We start from the raw sequence: 15,400 nt of genomic DNA, 5'->3' as shown, positions 1-15,400 counted from the left end.
AGGCAGGCAGAGGTTCTCACCAAAAAAACAGCAAGCACAAACAAAAAGAAAAATCAAATCCAAACTGAAATACAGTCTTGATTCTAAATTTGCTTCCCTTTTTACGTTCGCAGAATGTGACGAAAAATACATCTTAGCAAGAAGTTTCTTTGGACATTGTAAAGAAGTGGAGTATAGCTTTGTTGACAACACTTTGTTTAAACTATCTGAAACAGGAAAATGATTGTTTTAGAGGAAAATGTGTTCTCCCTCTTTTTTTTTTTTTTTTGGTGAGATGGGGTCTCACTGTGTTGCCCAGGCTGGAGTGCAGTGGTGTGATCATGGCTCACTGCAACCTCGACTTCCAGGCTCAAGCGATCCTCCCACCTCAGCCTCCCTAGTAGCTGGGGCCACAGGTACACTCCACCATGTCCAGCTAATTTTTCTGTAATTTTTGTAGAGATGGGGTCTCATTATGTTGCCGAGGCTCCTCTCAAACTCCTGGGTTCAAGTGATCCTTCCTCCTTGTTCCTCCTTTTAGAGTCTTTCAGGAAAAGTCACATGAAAGCTGGAAGAGCTATAAGTCTATAGGGATGATGTGGAAAAAACAAGAGGTGTCTTTTATTCGTGCTAACCATGGTAAAACTTTCAGTTTTGGTCTATTCTCGGAATGGATTTCCTTACCCTTTATTAAAACCAAAATGTTTAACATGGCATCTGAAGGTTACTAAAGTGCAGCAGCTCCTTGGAGGGGATTAGAACTCTGAGGCACAAGGGCTTGAGCCAGTTGTTCTCAAGGTGGAGACTTGGCTGCACTGTGAGGCGTGGTCTCTACCTGTTGGCTTCCCAGGCCTTCTGATTCACAGAGGTTTCTGATACGATTCAAGAAAGACTCCATCATCACAACGAGTGCATAAATGGCTTCAAGATCAGCGACCTACTTTGCAGGCCCCAGTGAAAAATGAAAATGTGGGGTCCCTTGTTCAAAAGGTGTTAATGGCTGAGCGAGGTGGCTCATGCCTGTAATTCCAGAGCTTTGGGAGGTCGAGGCGGGAGGATCACTTGAGGCCAAGAGTTTGACACCACTCTGGCCAACATGGTGAGACTCCATCTCTACAAAAATTTTAAAAATTAGCCAGGTGTGGTGGTGCGTGACTGTAGTCCTAGCTACTTGAGAGGCTGAGGTGACAGGATCCCTTGAGACCAAGAAGTAGAGGCTTCAGTGAGCTACGATCATGCCACTAAATTAAAAAAAATTTTTTTTTCAGACAGTCTCGCTCTGTTGTCCAGGCTGGAGTGCAGTGGGGCGCATCTTGGCCCACTGCAACCTCCCCCTCCCTGGTTCAGGCGATTCTCCTGCCTCAGCCTCTTGAGTAACTGGGACAACAGGCGCATGCCACCGCAGCAGGCTAATATTTTTATATTTTTAGTAGACACAAGTTTTCACCATATTGGCCAGGCTGGTCTTGAACTCCTAACCTCGTGATCCACCCACCTCAGCCTCACAAAGTGCTGGGATTACAGGTGAGAGCCACTGCGCCAGGCCAAAATTTTTTTTAAATAATAAAAAGTATTAAGAATTTTGAAGATGGTAGCACAGGGCCCTTCTGAGCTCATCCACGAAGCAGAGGCTGTAAGTTTACACACATTTATTTATTTATTATATATATTTCTGCTATATAATTTTTACATATGACATGTTGTTTATCGTCATATTTACCATATTATATGTCATATTTATATATGTACATTATATAATATAAATATATAATTATTTATATATTAGAGAGAGATGGAATAGAATAAACAGATGAAACAGATGGGCTCACATATGAGCCAAATCTGTATTCGGGTTTCTGTGTATTGGACTATAAAATGACATAGAGGGAGGGGGGTAAATATTTTATTCCTTATAAGGATTCATTCATTCATTTCCTATTTCAAGGTACATTAATGAAGCACTAGCTCTATACTGGACACAGTAGAAACATAAATGAAAAACATAGCCACGGGGCCCATTGTAGAAACCAAGGGAAAAAATAAAATTAGAAAATAAAAAATTATAAAATATGGCCAGGGGTGGTGGCTCACATCTGTAATCCCAGCTGTTTGGGAGGCCGAGGTGGGCAGATCACTTGAGGTCAGGAGTTCAAGACCAGCCTGGCCAACATGGTGAAACCCCGTCTCTACTAAAAATACGAAAATTAGCTGGGTGTGGTGGTGTGTGCCTATAATCCCAGCTACTCAGGGGGCTGAGGCAGGAGAATCGCTTGAGCCTGGGAGGCAGAGGTTGTAGTGAGCTGAGATCACACCACTGCACTCCAGCCTGGGCGACCAAGCAAGACTCTGTCTCAAAAATAAAATAAAATAATACAATTATCCTGTGGGACCCTGTGTTTGGCACTTTCACACAGGGTCCTGCAGGAGAATCCAGGGCCCTTACTCCTGTCTTAGTCGTCTCAGAGGAAGTAGCTTGCAAACTCGGCTCTGAAGGATGGACAGGAAGCCACCAGGGACACAGTGGGGAAGGGTATTCCAGGCAGATGTAGAAAGGTGAAAAAGAGCCAAGTGTTTGGGAAATGCAGGAAGACCAATAGGGCAGGAACGAAAAGTCCAGGCTGGGGCTGCGACCACTCGGTAAGACGTGAAGCCATGAGGTCAGCCGAGGAGGGAAGGGTCTGTTGTCTGTTCTAACCCTTAGCGTGACAGAAGATTCATGAATAGACTTTCAGATTCCTCTCTATCTTGTTTTTCTTTTTGTTGTTGAGACAGGGTGTTGCTCTGTCACCCAGGCTGGGGTGCAGTGGCATGATCTCAGCTCATTGTAACCTTGAACCCCTGGACTCCAGCAATCTGCCTCCCTCAGCCTCCCAAGTAGCTGGGACCACAGGCATGTGCCACCATGCCCAGCTAATTTTGGTATTTTTTGTAGAGACCAGGTCTTGCTGTGTTGCCCAGGCTGGTCTTGAACTCCTGAGTTCAACGGATCCACCCACCTTGGCCTCCCAAAGTGCTGGGATTACAGGTGTGAGCCACCATGCCTGGCCTCTTACATTTCCTTCTAAGAGTTTTTTAGATTTAGCTCTTACATTTAGGTCGTAACCCAAGTTGAGTTAATTTCTGTGTACCGTGTAGCAAAGGGGTCCAGTTCTTTTGCTTGTGGTGACCTAGTTGTCCCAACATCATTTATTACAAAGACTCTTCTTTCCCCCATTGTCTTGGCACCCTTGTTGAAAATCAGCTGATCATGAATATAAGGGTTTATTTCTGGACTCTCAGTCCTGCTCTCTTGAGCTGTAATATCTATCCTTATGCCAGAATCACACTGGACTACTGTAGCTTTACAGTAAAGGGAGAGTTCTCCAACTTAGTTCTTCTTTTTCAAGATTATTTGGTTATTCTGGTTTGCCCTTAGGTTTTTTACAATAAACCCAAACTTTTCAAAACCATGAAGTGCTCTTCTCCTTTTTCAAAAGAAATGTGTGTGTGTATCTATGTGTCTCTGCTAGTCAGTATGATCAGCTTCCTCTCTACCCCCTTACTTCCCAGCTTCTACAACTACATCTCCTTCGTTGGGGGCCCAGGGGCCCCTTATTTCCTGCTAGCCAAGGGTCCTGACTCAGTGTCATCTATATTCTGTAGTGGTGAGTCTGAATAGCCCCAATGTGCTGTACCTCCTGGCACTCCCACCCTTAGGTGGCACCTCCCAGTGGAATATGGACTGGCTCTGTGATTTGTTTTGCCTGATTGAATGTGGTGGAGGTGATGTTCTGGGGTTTCCAAGCCCAGGGATGGAGAAGGTCTGCCTGTGTGCCTTCAGAAGCCCTAAGTATGTCCATGTACAAAGTCCAGACTATGTCGTGGAAAGAAGATGTGAAGAGGCTGTGTGTAGATGCCACATAGAGGGGCCACACAGAGAGGCCACAGGGACGCCATGTAGAGAGGCATCAAGGTTCTGTGGAGACAGAGAGAAGCCTGAGTGTCCCAGTGTCCTTCTTAAGCATCCGTATGACTCTAGCCCGGCTGCCATCTGAGAATCCCCAAATGAGAAGCACCCAGCTGAGGCCAGCCAACACAGAGAACCATGAGAGATGACACAATGGAGGTTGTGTTAAGCCGCTATGTTTTGTGGCAATTTTTAATGCAGCAATAGATAATTAAAACAGAAATCCGATGGCCTGGCATGGTGGCTCACACCTGTAATGCCAGCACTTTGGGAGGCCGAGGCTGGAAGATCACCTGGGCCTACGGTTCGAGACCAGCCTGGGCAATGCAGTGAGACCCTATCTCTATTTAAATAATAAATAAAACCAAAAATCCCAGGTTAGTTCAAAGACACGAAATAGTTACTTAACCTCCTGATGCCTCGGTTTCTCAATCTGTAAAATGGAGATGATAATGACAATAATAATACATCTGTCACAGGGTTTTTGTGAAGATTAAAGGAGATCACATATGCAAATCTCTCAGTACAATGCAGTCGTGTCACTATTAATTTTTACAATAATTCAATCCAGTTTAGTGGTACACATTCAAGTTGTCATAAGATAACCAGGCATGGAGATTCAACTGGGTGAGTGATAAATTTTAAGTGGAGTTTCTACGAAATGCGGAGGGATCACTGCCTTCACTCTTGAAATGATTCATTAAACAAGTTTCTGTACAACTCATACACTTGTAAGAAAAAAATAATAAATGCATGAAAGAAGGAAACAAGCAAGACAAAACATGCTCACTGTGCAGTGGGAAGACCGGAAATTCCATCGGAGGCACCAGAATCCAGCGAGGCTGCCCTTTAGAATCTGCCCGAGTAGCCGCGGACTTTGGTTTAGAATCATGTAGTGTGAGAGCTGGGAGGAAGTTCGAAGATCATCTAATTCCTCATGAGCGGGTGAGGGGTTAAGGGGTTTCACAGCTAGTTAATGAGAGAGCCAGAACATACATCCAGGCTCCAGGTTCTTTTGCAAACTTAACATGTGTGGTTGTTCTTTTATTTATTTTTATTTTAATATTATTATTATTTTTTGACATGGATTCTCACTCTGTTGCCCAGGCTGGAGTGCAGTGGTGTGATCTTGGCTCACGGCAACCTCCGCCTCCCGGGTTCAAGCGATTCTACCTGCCTCAGCCTCCTGAGTAGCTGGGACTACAGGTGCCTGCCACCACACCCGGCTAATTTTTGTATTTTTAGTAGAGACTAGGTTTCACCATATTGGCCAGGCTGGTCCTGAACTCCTGACCTCATGATCTGCCTGCCTCGGCCTCCCGAAGTGCTGGGATTACAAGGGTGAGTCACCAGGCCTGGCCTGTGGTTGTTTTTTTCTAATTTTATCCATGACTATTGTTTAAAAAAAAACACACACACAAAATATTATGAAATTGTGAAACTTAGAAAGGGAGAGTCCCTTGCAAATTTCAGCTTCTAGAAATAAATACTGCTGACTTCTCTGACTCTTAGTTAATAAAGGCCCTTAGGATTACTTTATGAATGTTGTTGACAAGTGTCCACATACATCCAAGAAGGAAGCATGGTATTCACAGGCAGCAAGAACAAGAAACAAATACCAATTATTTCACTAAAGCCTGAACAGCATGACCTCCATCCCCACCATGCCCTGAGCAAGATCTTCAACCTTACAGACAAGGCAATAACATAGTAAGAGGCAGTGAGCATGATGGTTAGGGACACAGGCTTTGAAGTCACTGCCAGATTCAAATCCAAGCTCAGCTGTTTTTTTTCTTTTAGTTTTGAGACAGGATCTCACTCTGTCACCCAGGCTGGAGTGCATTGGCACGATCTAGGCTCACTGCAAGCTCCGCCTCCCTGGTTCATGCCATTCCCCTGCCTCAGCCTCCCAAGTAGCTGGGACTACAGGTGCCCGCCACGACGCCTGGCTAATTTTTTGTTTTTGTATTTTTAGTAGAGACAGGGTTTCACCGTGTTAGCCAGGATGGTCTCGATCTCCTGACCTCGTGATCCGCCCGCCTCAGCCTCCCAAAGTGCTTGGATTACAGGCGTGAGCCACGGCGCCTGGCCTCTGTTTTTTTTTTTTTTTTTTCTAAACAGAGTTTCACTCTTGTTGCCCAGGCTGTAGTGCAATGGCGTCATCTCAGCTCACCGCAACCTCCGCCTCCTGGGTCCCAGTTCAAGCAGTTCTCCTGCCTCCGCTACTGAGTAGCTGGGATTACAGGCACGCGCCACCACACCCAGCTAAATTTTGTATTTTTAGTAGAGATCTGATTTCACCATGTTGACCAGGCTGGTATCAAACTCCTGACCTCGTGATCCGCCCACCTCAGCCTCCCAAAGTGCTGGGATTACAGGCGTGAGCCACTGTGCCCGGGTTTTTTTGTTTGTTTGTTTGTTTGTTTGGTGGAGTCTCGCTCTGTCACCCAGGCTGCAGTGCAGTGGCACAATCTTGGTTCACTGCAACCTCCAACTCCCTGGTTCAAGCGATTCTCCTGCCTCAGCCTCCCAAGTGGCTGGGATTACAGGCGCCCGCCACCACGCCCAGCTAATTTTTGTATACTTTAGTAGAGACGGGGTTTCACCATATTGGCCAAGATGGTCTGGATCTCCTGACCTTGTGATCCTCCCGTCTCGGCCTCCCAAAGTGTTGGGATTACAGGCGTGAGCCACCGCGCCCGGCCATGCTCTGCTCTTATGAGCTGGGTGGCCCTGAATATTTTATCCTCTCTGAGCTTCACTTTCCTCATTTGAAATCAGAATCAATAATAATACCTTCCACATGGGCTACAGTCAGAGTGAAACAAGCAACTATAAAAGCACTGAGCTCCTGGCTAACATGGTGAAACCCCATCTCTACTAAAAATACAAAAAATTAGCTAGGCGTGGTGGCGGGTGCCTGTAGTCCCAGCTACTCGGGAGGCTGAGGCAGCATGGCGTGAACCCAGGAGGCGGGGCTTGCAGTGAGGCGAGAGCGAGACTTTGTCTCAAAAAAAAAAAAGCACTGAGTATGGGTTCCAGCACATGGGAAGCTCTCTATAATGTAGGTGCCACCATCATCTTCATCATTGTCTTCATCTCACCTGGATCATCATCAAGTACTTGTAGTTCTATGGGAACCTAATATTAGGTCATCCTAACTCTAGTTTACTTGAAGACTCTATAAGCTCCTATTATTGAACCTGCGTTTGCAGCTAAAGAAATAAATTGACATCTTATGGCCGGCAGTGATGGTTCACACCTGTAAGCCCAGCACTTTGGGATGCCAAGGCGGGAGGATCACTTGAAGTCAGGAGTTCAAGACCAGCCTGGCCAAAATGGTGAAATCCATCTCTATTAAAAAATACAAAAATTAGCCAGGCACGGTGGCGGGCACCTGTAGTCTCAGCTACTTGGGAGGCTGAGGCAGGAGAATGACTGGAACCCAGGAGGCAGAGGTTGCAGTGAGCCACTGCACTCCAGCCTGGGCGATAGAGTGAAACTCCATCTCAAAAGAAAAAAAAAAAAAAAGGAAGAAATTTACATTATATAACTCAAAGTAGAAGCAACATAGTTTAGAAGTCTCCTGCATGGAAGAATTCATAAGACCAAAATATTAAAGGGAGAAAACATTCTATAGGATGACACCCAATCGCACTGACAAGCAGAGAAACAATGTGTGCAATGGTGTCCCGCTACAAGGCAGGGTTCCATGTCCTCTTAGGTCCTGTCACTCTAAGTTTAATTTTACAAAAATGGGGGCTTTAAAAATATCACATACTTAGTGGGGGAGGTTTTGCGTGTGTGGAGACAGAGTGCACAGGACCGTCCGTACTTTCTGCTCAATTTTGCTGTGAATCTAAAACTGCCCTAAAAAATAAAGTTCATTAAAAAAAAAAAATCACGGCCAGGCGCAGTGGCTCACGCCTGTAATCACAGCACTTTGGGAGACCGAGGCGGGTGGATCACAAGGTCAGGAGTTCGAGACCAGCCTGGCCAACACAGTGAAACCTCGTCTTTACTAAAAATACAAAAAATTAGCTGGGCGTGGTGGCGCACGCCTGTAGTCCCAGATACTCAGGAGGCTGAGGCAGAAGAATTGCTTGAACCTGGGAGGCGGAGGTTGCAGTGAGCTGAGATTGTTCCACCGTTCTCCAGCCTGGGTGACAGAGTGAGACTCTGTCTCAAAAAAAAAAAATCACATCCTAAGGTCCCAAGGACATAAAACAAGTTAGAGACCTCATCCAGTTTTTTGTTTGTTTCAGGGACCTGCAACCAACTTTCTTACTGACCAGTTTCCTGGGCTGTCTAGAACAGACAGCTTATGGGGTACTAACCCCATGCTCTATCCTAAGGTACCCCTCTTCATGCAGAGCGACACAGAAAAACAAATTTGTAGCACAAAGTACACCCGATTTGCTACAGCTTACAACTAGCCTCATGAATCCTTTTCTCATTAATTCAAAGTTTGCAAAAAAAAGAAATCACATACTTAAATCACTTGAGCACAGAAGCATATCAAAATCTAATATAAACAAACAAAAAACCCAACTTATTTTAACATGCCACTGAAACTGGGCTCAAGTTTTCAAACATCTTATGAAATATTACACTCTCCAGCAGGCTTTTTTTTTTTTCCTAACTGGAGATGAATGGCAGAGTTCTGATATGGAAAAGCACTCCATGTTTGTACAGAAAGGTAGCATAGGAAAAGTGGTCAAATTCAACCAGTCTGTCCTCATCAAACAGGCAACTACTGTCTTCTCAGCATTTCCAAAAGAAATCATATGCCTGCTACTGTTTATGTCATATGCCTGTTAATTTTTCATGCTAATTCTTAGTGTTTCTGGAAAACCTCACTGTTTGGCACCAAAAATTATTATTGCTATTGTTGTTGTTTTGTTAATTATGTCAGCCAAGCAGATGACGGTGAATTAATTCTGCAACGTTGAGTACTCAGTTGGCATACAAGCACCCAGCCTTCCAAAGGGATGTCCTTCATGTTTCACTGATTTTCGAATGACAGTCAGCTTGCCTAAACTTATCCTTTACATTTAAGACATTTGGTGGGTTCCTGTATGCCCAGGGGATTTTTATTATTTGTTTATGCAAACAGCAGGTTGCATAAGAGCCTTGCTGGCTTTTTTTTTTTTTTTTTTAGAGATTTCGTAGTTTCCTGATAACCATTCAGTCATCTATTTCAACACCCTGACATGACATAAAGGCAGGCACGGAACCACACGTTCACCATACAGACACACGCCACTTTGCTGGAGCATTCACTAGGCGAGGCGCTCCATCGGACTCACTAGCTGCACTCATGAATCGGCACCATCTGCAGGATCACTTTCTGGAAATAGACAAGAAGAACTGCTGTGTGTTCCGAGATGACTTCATTGCCAAGGTGTTGCCGCCGGTGTTGGGGCTGGAGTTTATCTTTGGGCTTCTGGGCAATGGCCTTGCCCTGTGGATTTTCTGTTTCCACCTCAAGTCCTGGAAATCCAGCCGGATTTTCCTGTTCAACCTGGCAGTAGCTGACTTTCTACTGATCATCTGCCTGCCGTTCGTGATGGACTACTATGTGCGGCGTTCAGACTGGAAGTTTGGGGACATCCCTTGCCGGCTGGTGCTCTTCATGTTTGCCATGAACCGCCAGGGCAGCATCATATTCCTCACGGTGGTGGCGGTAGACAGGTATTTCCGGGTGGTCCATCCCCACCACGCCCTGAACAAGATCTCCAATTGGACAGCAGCCATCATCTCTTGCCTTCTGTGGGGCATCACTGTTGGCCTAACAGTCCACCTCCTGAAGAAGAAGTTGCTGATCCAGAATGGCACTGCAAATGTGTGCATCAGCTTCAGCATCTGCCATACCTTCCGGTGGCACGAAGCTATGTTCCTCCTGGAGTTCTTCCTGCCCCTGGGCATCATCCTGTTCTGCTCAGCCAGAATTATCTGGAGCCTGCGGCAGAGACAAATGGACCGGCATGCCAAGATCAAGAGAGCCATCACCTTCATCATGGTGGTGGCCATCGTCTTTGTCATCTGCTTCCTTCCCAGCGTGGTTGTGCGGATCCACATCTTCTGGCTCCTGCACACTTCGGGCACGCAGAATTGTGAAGTGTACCGCTCGGTGGACCTGGCGTTCTTTATCACTCTCAGCTTCACCTACATGAACAGCATGCTGGACCCCGTGGTGTACTACTTCTCCAGCCCATCCTTTCCCAACTTCTTCTCCACTTTGATCAACCGCTGCCTCCAGAGGAAGATAACAGGTGAGCCAGATAATAACCGCAGCACGAGCGTCGAGCTCACAGGGGACCCCAACAAAACCAGAGGCGCTCCAGAGGCGTTAATCGCCAACTCCGGTGAGCCATGGAGCCCCTCTTATCTGGGCCCAACCTCAAATAACCATTCCAAGAAGGGACATTGTCACCAAGAACCAGCATCTCTGGAGAAACAGTTGGGCTGTTGCATCGAGTAATGTCACTGGACTCGGCCTAAGATTTCCTGGAACTTCCAGATTCAGAGAATCTGATTTAGGGAAACTGTGGCAGATGAGTGGGAGACTGGTTGCAAGGTGTGACCGCAGGAATCCTGGAGGAACAGAGAGTAAAGCTTCTAGGCATCTGAAACTTGCTTCATCTCTGACGCTCGCAGGACTGAAGATGGGCAAATTGTAGGCGTTTCTGCTGAGCAGAGTTGGAGCCAGAGATCTACTTGTGACTTGTTGGCCTTCTTCCCACATCTGCCTCAGACTGGAGGGGGCTCAGCTCCTGGGGTGATATCTAGCCTGCTTGTGAGCTCTAGCAGGGATAAGGAGAGCTGAGATTGGAGGGAATTGTGTTGTTCCTGGAGGAAGCCCAGGCATCATTAAACAAGCCAGTAGGTCACCTGGCTTCCGTGGACCAATTCATCTTTCAGACAATCTTTAGCAGAAATGGACTCAGGGAAGAGACTCACATGCTTTGGTTAGTATCTGTGTTTCCGGTGGGTGTAATAGGGGATTAGCCCCAGAAGGGACTGAGCTAAACAGTGTTATTATGGGAAAGGAAATGGCATTGCTGCTTTCAACCAGCGACTAATGCAATCCATTCCTCTCTTGTTTATAGTAATCTAAGGGTTGAACAGTTAAAACGGCTTCAGGATAGAAAGCTGTTTCCCACCTGTTTGCTTTTACCATTAAAAGGGAAACGTGCCTCTGCCCCACGGGTAGAGGGGTGCACGTTCCTCCTGGTTCCTTCGCTTGTGTTTCTGTACTTACCAAAAATCTACCATTTCAATAAATTTTGATAGGAGACAGTCTGGCGTTGCTATATCTGGGTTATGGTTCACAGAAATGGACTTCTTACTTAAGCAGAGACCTTTATGGGTTGTTAACTTTGTCCTGGTAGAAAACTACTCCACACTGCAAAGTAAGAAAGAGACACAGACACTGAGCTACATCATGAAACAACTAAGCAGAAATTACACCTGTGTCTAAACAAAGATAGAAAGAGCTGGGATTAAAAATAATTTGGAAGGATAGTACAGATAGGATTGCAAGAGCACTTACATTTTATTAGAGTTTGGTGAATATTGCTCTTCATATTTGTGCATTAAAAAGGGAATCAAGGCCAGGTGCAATGGTTCATGCCTGTAATCCCAGCACTTTGGGGGAGCCAAGGCGGGCAGATCACCTGAAGTAAGGAGTTTGAGACCAGCCTGGACAAAATGGTGAAACCCCACTTCTACTAAAAATACAAGAAAAATTAGCCAGGCATGGTGGCGGCCGCTTGTAGTCCCAGCTACTGGGAAGGCTGGGAGAAGAAGAATTGCTTGAACCCGGGAGGCGGAGGTTGCAGTGAGCCGAGGTGGTGTGCCTGCACTCCAGCCTGGGGGACAGAGCAAGACTTCATCTCAAATAATAATAATAAATAATATAAAAAGGGAATCAAGCCAGGCAGATATTTTTCCATAGGAGGGGGAAGAGCGAGCTTCCTATGGAATGGTTTCAGTTCCCAATTCGGAGAAGGAAAGGAGATGTACTGGTTTGAGTCTGTGATCAGTCCAAGTTTCTGTTACGCTTTCATTTCTAACTCTGTCAGTCCTTGATTATTTGGCAAGACGAGGCTTGCTTCAACCTCCTGACATGAACACAGATAAGGAATTTAGAGACAGGCTCCCAGCTCTGGGTGAATGACAGTAAATGAAGAAAGGTGGATGCTCTGGAATTACCTCTGTGCTTTCAGAGCAGTTGGCTTGTCTGTATCACCAAGCAATGTACAGGTAAAAAGCCAAAAGCAAGGATCACCTTAAAGAGGAAGAGATGTCAGGGATGAGCTCAGAGGAAAATAGGGATTCCCCAGCCTCGGAGGCATGAGTCAGTGGGGAGCCTCGTTGTGAAACGCGGATTCGTTCAAGGGATGAGGTGGTTTGGGGTGTTTGGACCTCCACAGCTCACATTCATTCACTGATTCAGGCATTCCATCAGTTCTTTGTTTTTTTTTTTTTTTTGAGACCGAGTCTCACTCTGTCATCTAGGCTGGAGTGCAGTGGTGTGATCTGGGTTCACTGCAGCCTCTGCCTCCTGGGTTCAAGTGATTCTCCTACCTCAGCCTCCCCAGTAGCTGGGATTACAGGTGTGCACCACCATGCCTGGCTAATTTTTGTATTTTTAGTAGAGATGGGCTTTCGCTGTGTTGCCCAGGCTGGTCTCCAACTCCTGACCTCAGGTGATCCACCTGCCTCAGCCTCCCAAAGTGCTGGGATTACAGGTGTGAGCCACTGTGCCCAGCCTCATTCCATCAGTTTTATGTATTAAGCGCCAACTGTGTGCCAGGCGCTGTTCTGGGTGGTGGAGATAGAACAAGGAACAAGGCAGCCACAGTCCTCTTCTCATCGAGCTGACTTTTGGAGTGGGGAGACAGGCAGGAATAAAAAGGAGCCTTGGGGTGGCTATGGGTGTCATGACTATGGTGGAGTGGGACAATGGGGATAAAAAGTAACCGGGGCTGGGGTGACTGGGATGGCTTCTATGAGGCATTGACCCTGAGCTGAGCCATGAATGACTAAACAGAAAAGCAATGCAAAAGTCTGGGGGAAAGACACGCCAAGCAGAGGGAATGGTAAGTGCAAAGGCCCTGAGGTGAGAATTAGGTTGGTGACTGCATGTTCATTTCCTGTGGCTGGGTGGCTTGGAACAATAGAAATGTATTCTCCCACAGATCTAGAAGCTAGAAGTGCAGAATCAAGGTGTTGGCAGGGTTGGTTCCATCTGGAGGCTAAGGGAAAATGTTTCATGCCTCACTCCGAGCTTTCGGAGACTGCTGGCACTCTTGGACTTTCCTTGGCTTGTAGACGCTTCACTCCAATCTCTGCCCCTGTCACCACATGGTGGTCCCCTCTGTGTCCTCTCCTCTTCTTACAGACACCTGTCTTTTCTTTTCTTTTCTTTTCTTTTCTTTTCTTTTTTTTTTTTTGGTCTGTATTTGAGACAGAGTCTCGCTCTGTCACCCAGGCTGGAATGCAGTGGCTTCATCTCGGCTCACTGCAACTCTGCCTCCTGGGCTCAACCGATTCTCCTGTCTCAGCCTCTCACGTAGCTGGGATTATAGGCATGCACCCCCACACCTGTCTAATTTTTCTATTTTTAGTAGAGACAGGGTTTTGCCATGTTGGCTAGGCTGGTCTTGAACTCCTGACCTCAGGTGATCCACCTGCCTCAGCCTCCCAAAGTGTTGGGATTACAGGTGTGATCCAGCAGGCCCGGCCATAAATATGCCTGTCTTTATAACCCACCCTAATCCAGGATGCTCTCATCTTGAGATCTTTACCTTAGTTATACCTACAAAGACCCTTATTCCAAATAAGGTTGTATTCTAAGGTTTGGGGTGAACATAGCTGTTGGGAACCAGAACTCAACCGACTATAGTGAGGAACAATGTGGCCAGCACGATGAGCGTGGGGCCTGCCATATAGTGAGGTCGTGATCCCCTTTCAGACAAAAGTAATGAAAGACTTGAGATGAAGATCATACTATATTTAAATGAAAAAGTTTCTAAACAGAATATGATATCCATTTTCTTTTAAAATACGTGTATCTGTGTACTTGTGTATGGAACAACAGACTACAGGAACACACACCAGGCTGGGCACAGTGGCTCACCCCTGTAATCTCAGCACTTTTGGAGGCCAAAGCGGGTGGATCATGTGAGCCCAGGAGTTCAAGACCAGCCTGGGCAACATAGCAAGACTCCATCTGTACAAAAAATATAAATATTTAGCCAGGCATGGTGGCACACACATGCAGTCCTAGCTACTTGGGAGGCTGTGGTGGGAGGATCACTTGAGCCCAGGAGTTTGAGGCTGCCGTGAGCTATGATCAGGCCACTGCACTCCAGCCAGGGCGACAGAGTGAGACCTTGTCTCAAAAAAAAAAAGAAAAAAGAAAGAAAGAAGGAAGGAAGGGAAGGAAAAGAAAAAAGAAAGAAAGAAGGACGGAAGGGAAGGAAAAGAAAGAAAGAGAGAGAGAAGGAAGGAAGGAAGAAAAGGAAAGAAAGAAAGAAGGAAAGAAAGGAAGAAAGAAAGAAAGAAAGAAAGAGACAGAAAGACATTCTGATACTCAGGCTGAGCCATTGGAAAGTATCTTCTACATTTGCTCTGTGTGTGTGTGTGTGTGTGTGGGTGTGTGTGTGAAAGGAGAAAGAGGAAGAGGAAGACAGAATTTATGTATGTAGATCTGTCTATGTGTCTATATATTGGAAAAGGTGGTTATAATCATATATGCATCTATTTTGCATTACTGCCTTTAAACCTGTCTTGCAGCTGTTTATTTTGGGGGCTTAGTTCTTGGGGTCACCAGATTCATGAGTTCACTCTCTGCTATGTAGACCAGAACTTCCTCACAGCTCTTCCCAACAATCTCTTTCCAGCATCAAGAGATTATCCCTAAGTCTAGATCCATAAAATCAGAGGAGCAAGATCATGTTCATTTCTGATTCTTTGAGCTCCCTTCCCTTTCGAGGTTCATTCTCTTATTTGCCCCACAATGCCTTACCTGAAGTGAGGGTGAAACCGCCTTTGCAAAAATTATAACGGAGAAAATTATGATGGTGAAATAGATCTAACCTCACTCCATCTTTCTTCTAACCTCCAAGCTGTCCTTGTTCAGTACTGGGCATAGGCCATACTAACTTCGGGAGGAACTTGTTTATAGTTTAACTTTGAAACAAAGACAATAACAGCCCTTTCCCAAAACGAACCCCCTTCCTGCCTGAGGGCTAGACTGCCTTTGCAGGACTAACAAATTAGCTATAAGATTAGAAATTACGGTTTACCAGCCATGCAGCCTCTGGCTGCAAGATTCTGAACCTTCCCAAATTGCTCCTGGGAATAACATCACTGTTGCAAAACCTAAAATCAGTGCTTGAGGTATTTTGCAGACCCTGCACTCTGATGCACCCCCTGACACCACCCAGTCCAGTAATCTGGCTC

At 45.9% G+C, this 15,400-nt stretch overlaps 1 protein-coding gene across 1 annotated transcript, besides 1 other annotated feature; it reads left to right on the top strand.

Moving 5' to 3' along the window:
- Positions 4,493–4,542: a silencer, noted in NCBI's record as "silent region_5019". NCBI's record gives its function as "represses an Ori minimal core promoter by ATAC-STARR-seq in GM12878 lymphoblastoid cells {active_cell/tissue: GM12878}" and the evidence as "EXISTENCE:reporter gene assay evidence [ECO:0000049][PMID:35858748]".
- On the top strand, positions 9,172–11,227 carry HCAR3 (hydroxycarboxylic acid receptor 3). Its single transcript, NM_006018.3, has one exon. It carries the CDS (start codon positions 9,246–9,248, stop codon positions 10,407–10,409), a length of 1,164 nt encoding a protein of 387 aa, NP_006009.2. The 5' UTR covers positions 9,172–9,245; the 3' UTR covers positions 10,410–11,227.
- Positions 11,228–15,400: the final 4,173 nt, after the last annotated feature.

Source organism: Homo sapiens, chromosome 12 (genome assembly GCF_000001405.40).
Source record: "Homo sapiens chromosome 12, GRCh38.p14 Primary Assembly".
Classification (NCBI taxonomy): domain Eukaryota; kingdom Metazoa; phylum Chordata; class Mammalia; order Primates; family Hominidae; genus Homo; species Homo sapiens.
This window is presented reverse-complemented; position numbering and strand designations above follow the sequence as displayed.

Bases quoted from the DNA above. Each gene is read 5' to 3' on its own strand.
- HCAR3 (NM_006018.3), top strand. From the start codon at position 9,246: ATGAATCGGCACCATCTGCAGGATCACTTTCTGGAAATAGACAAGAAG.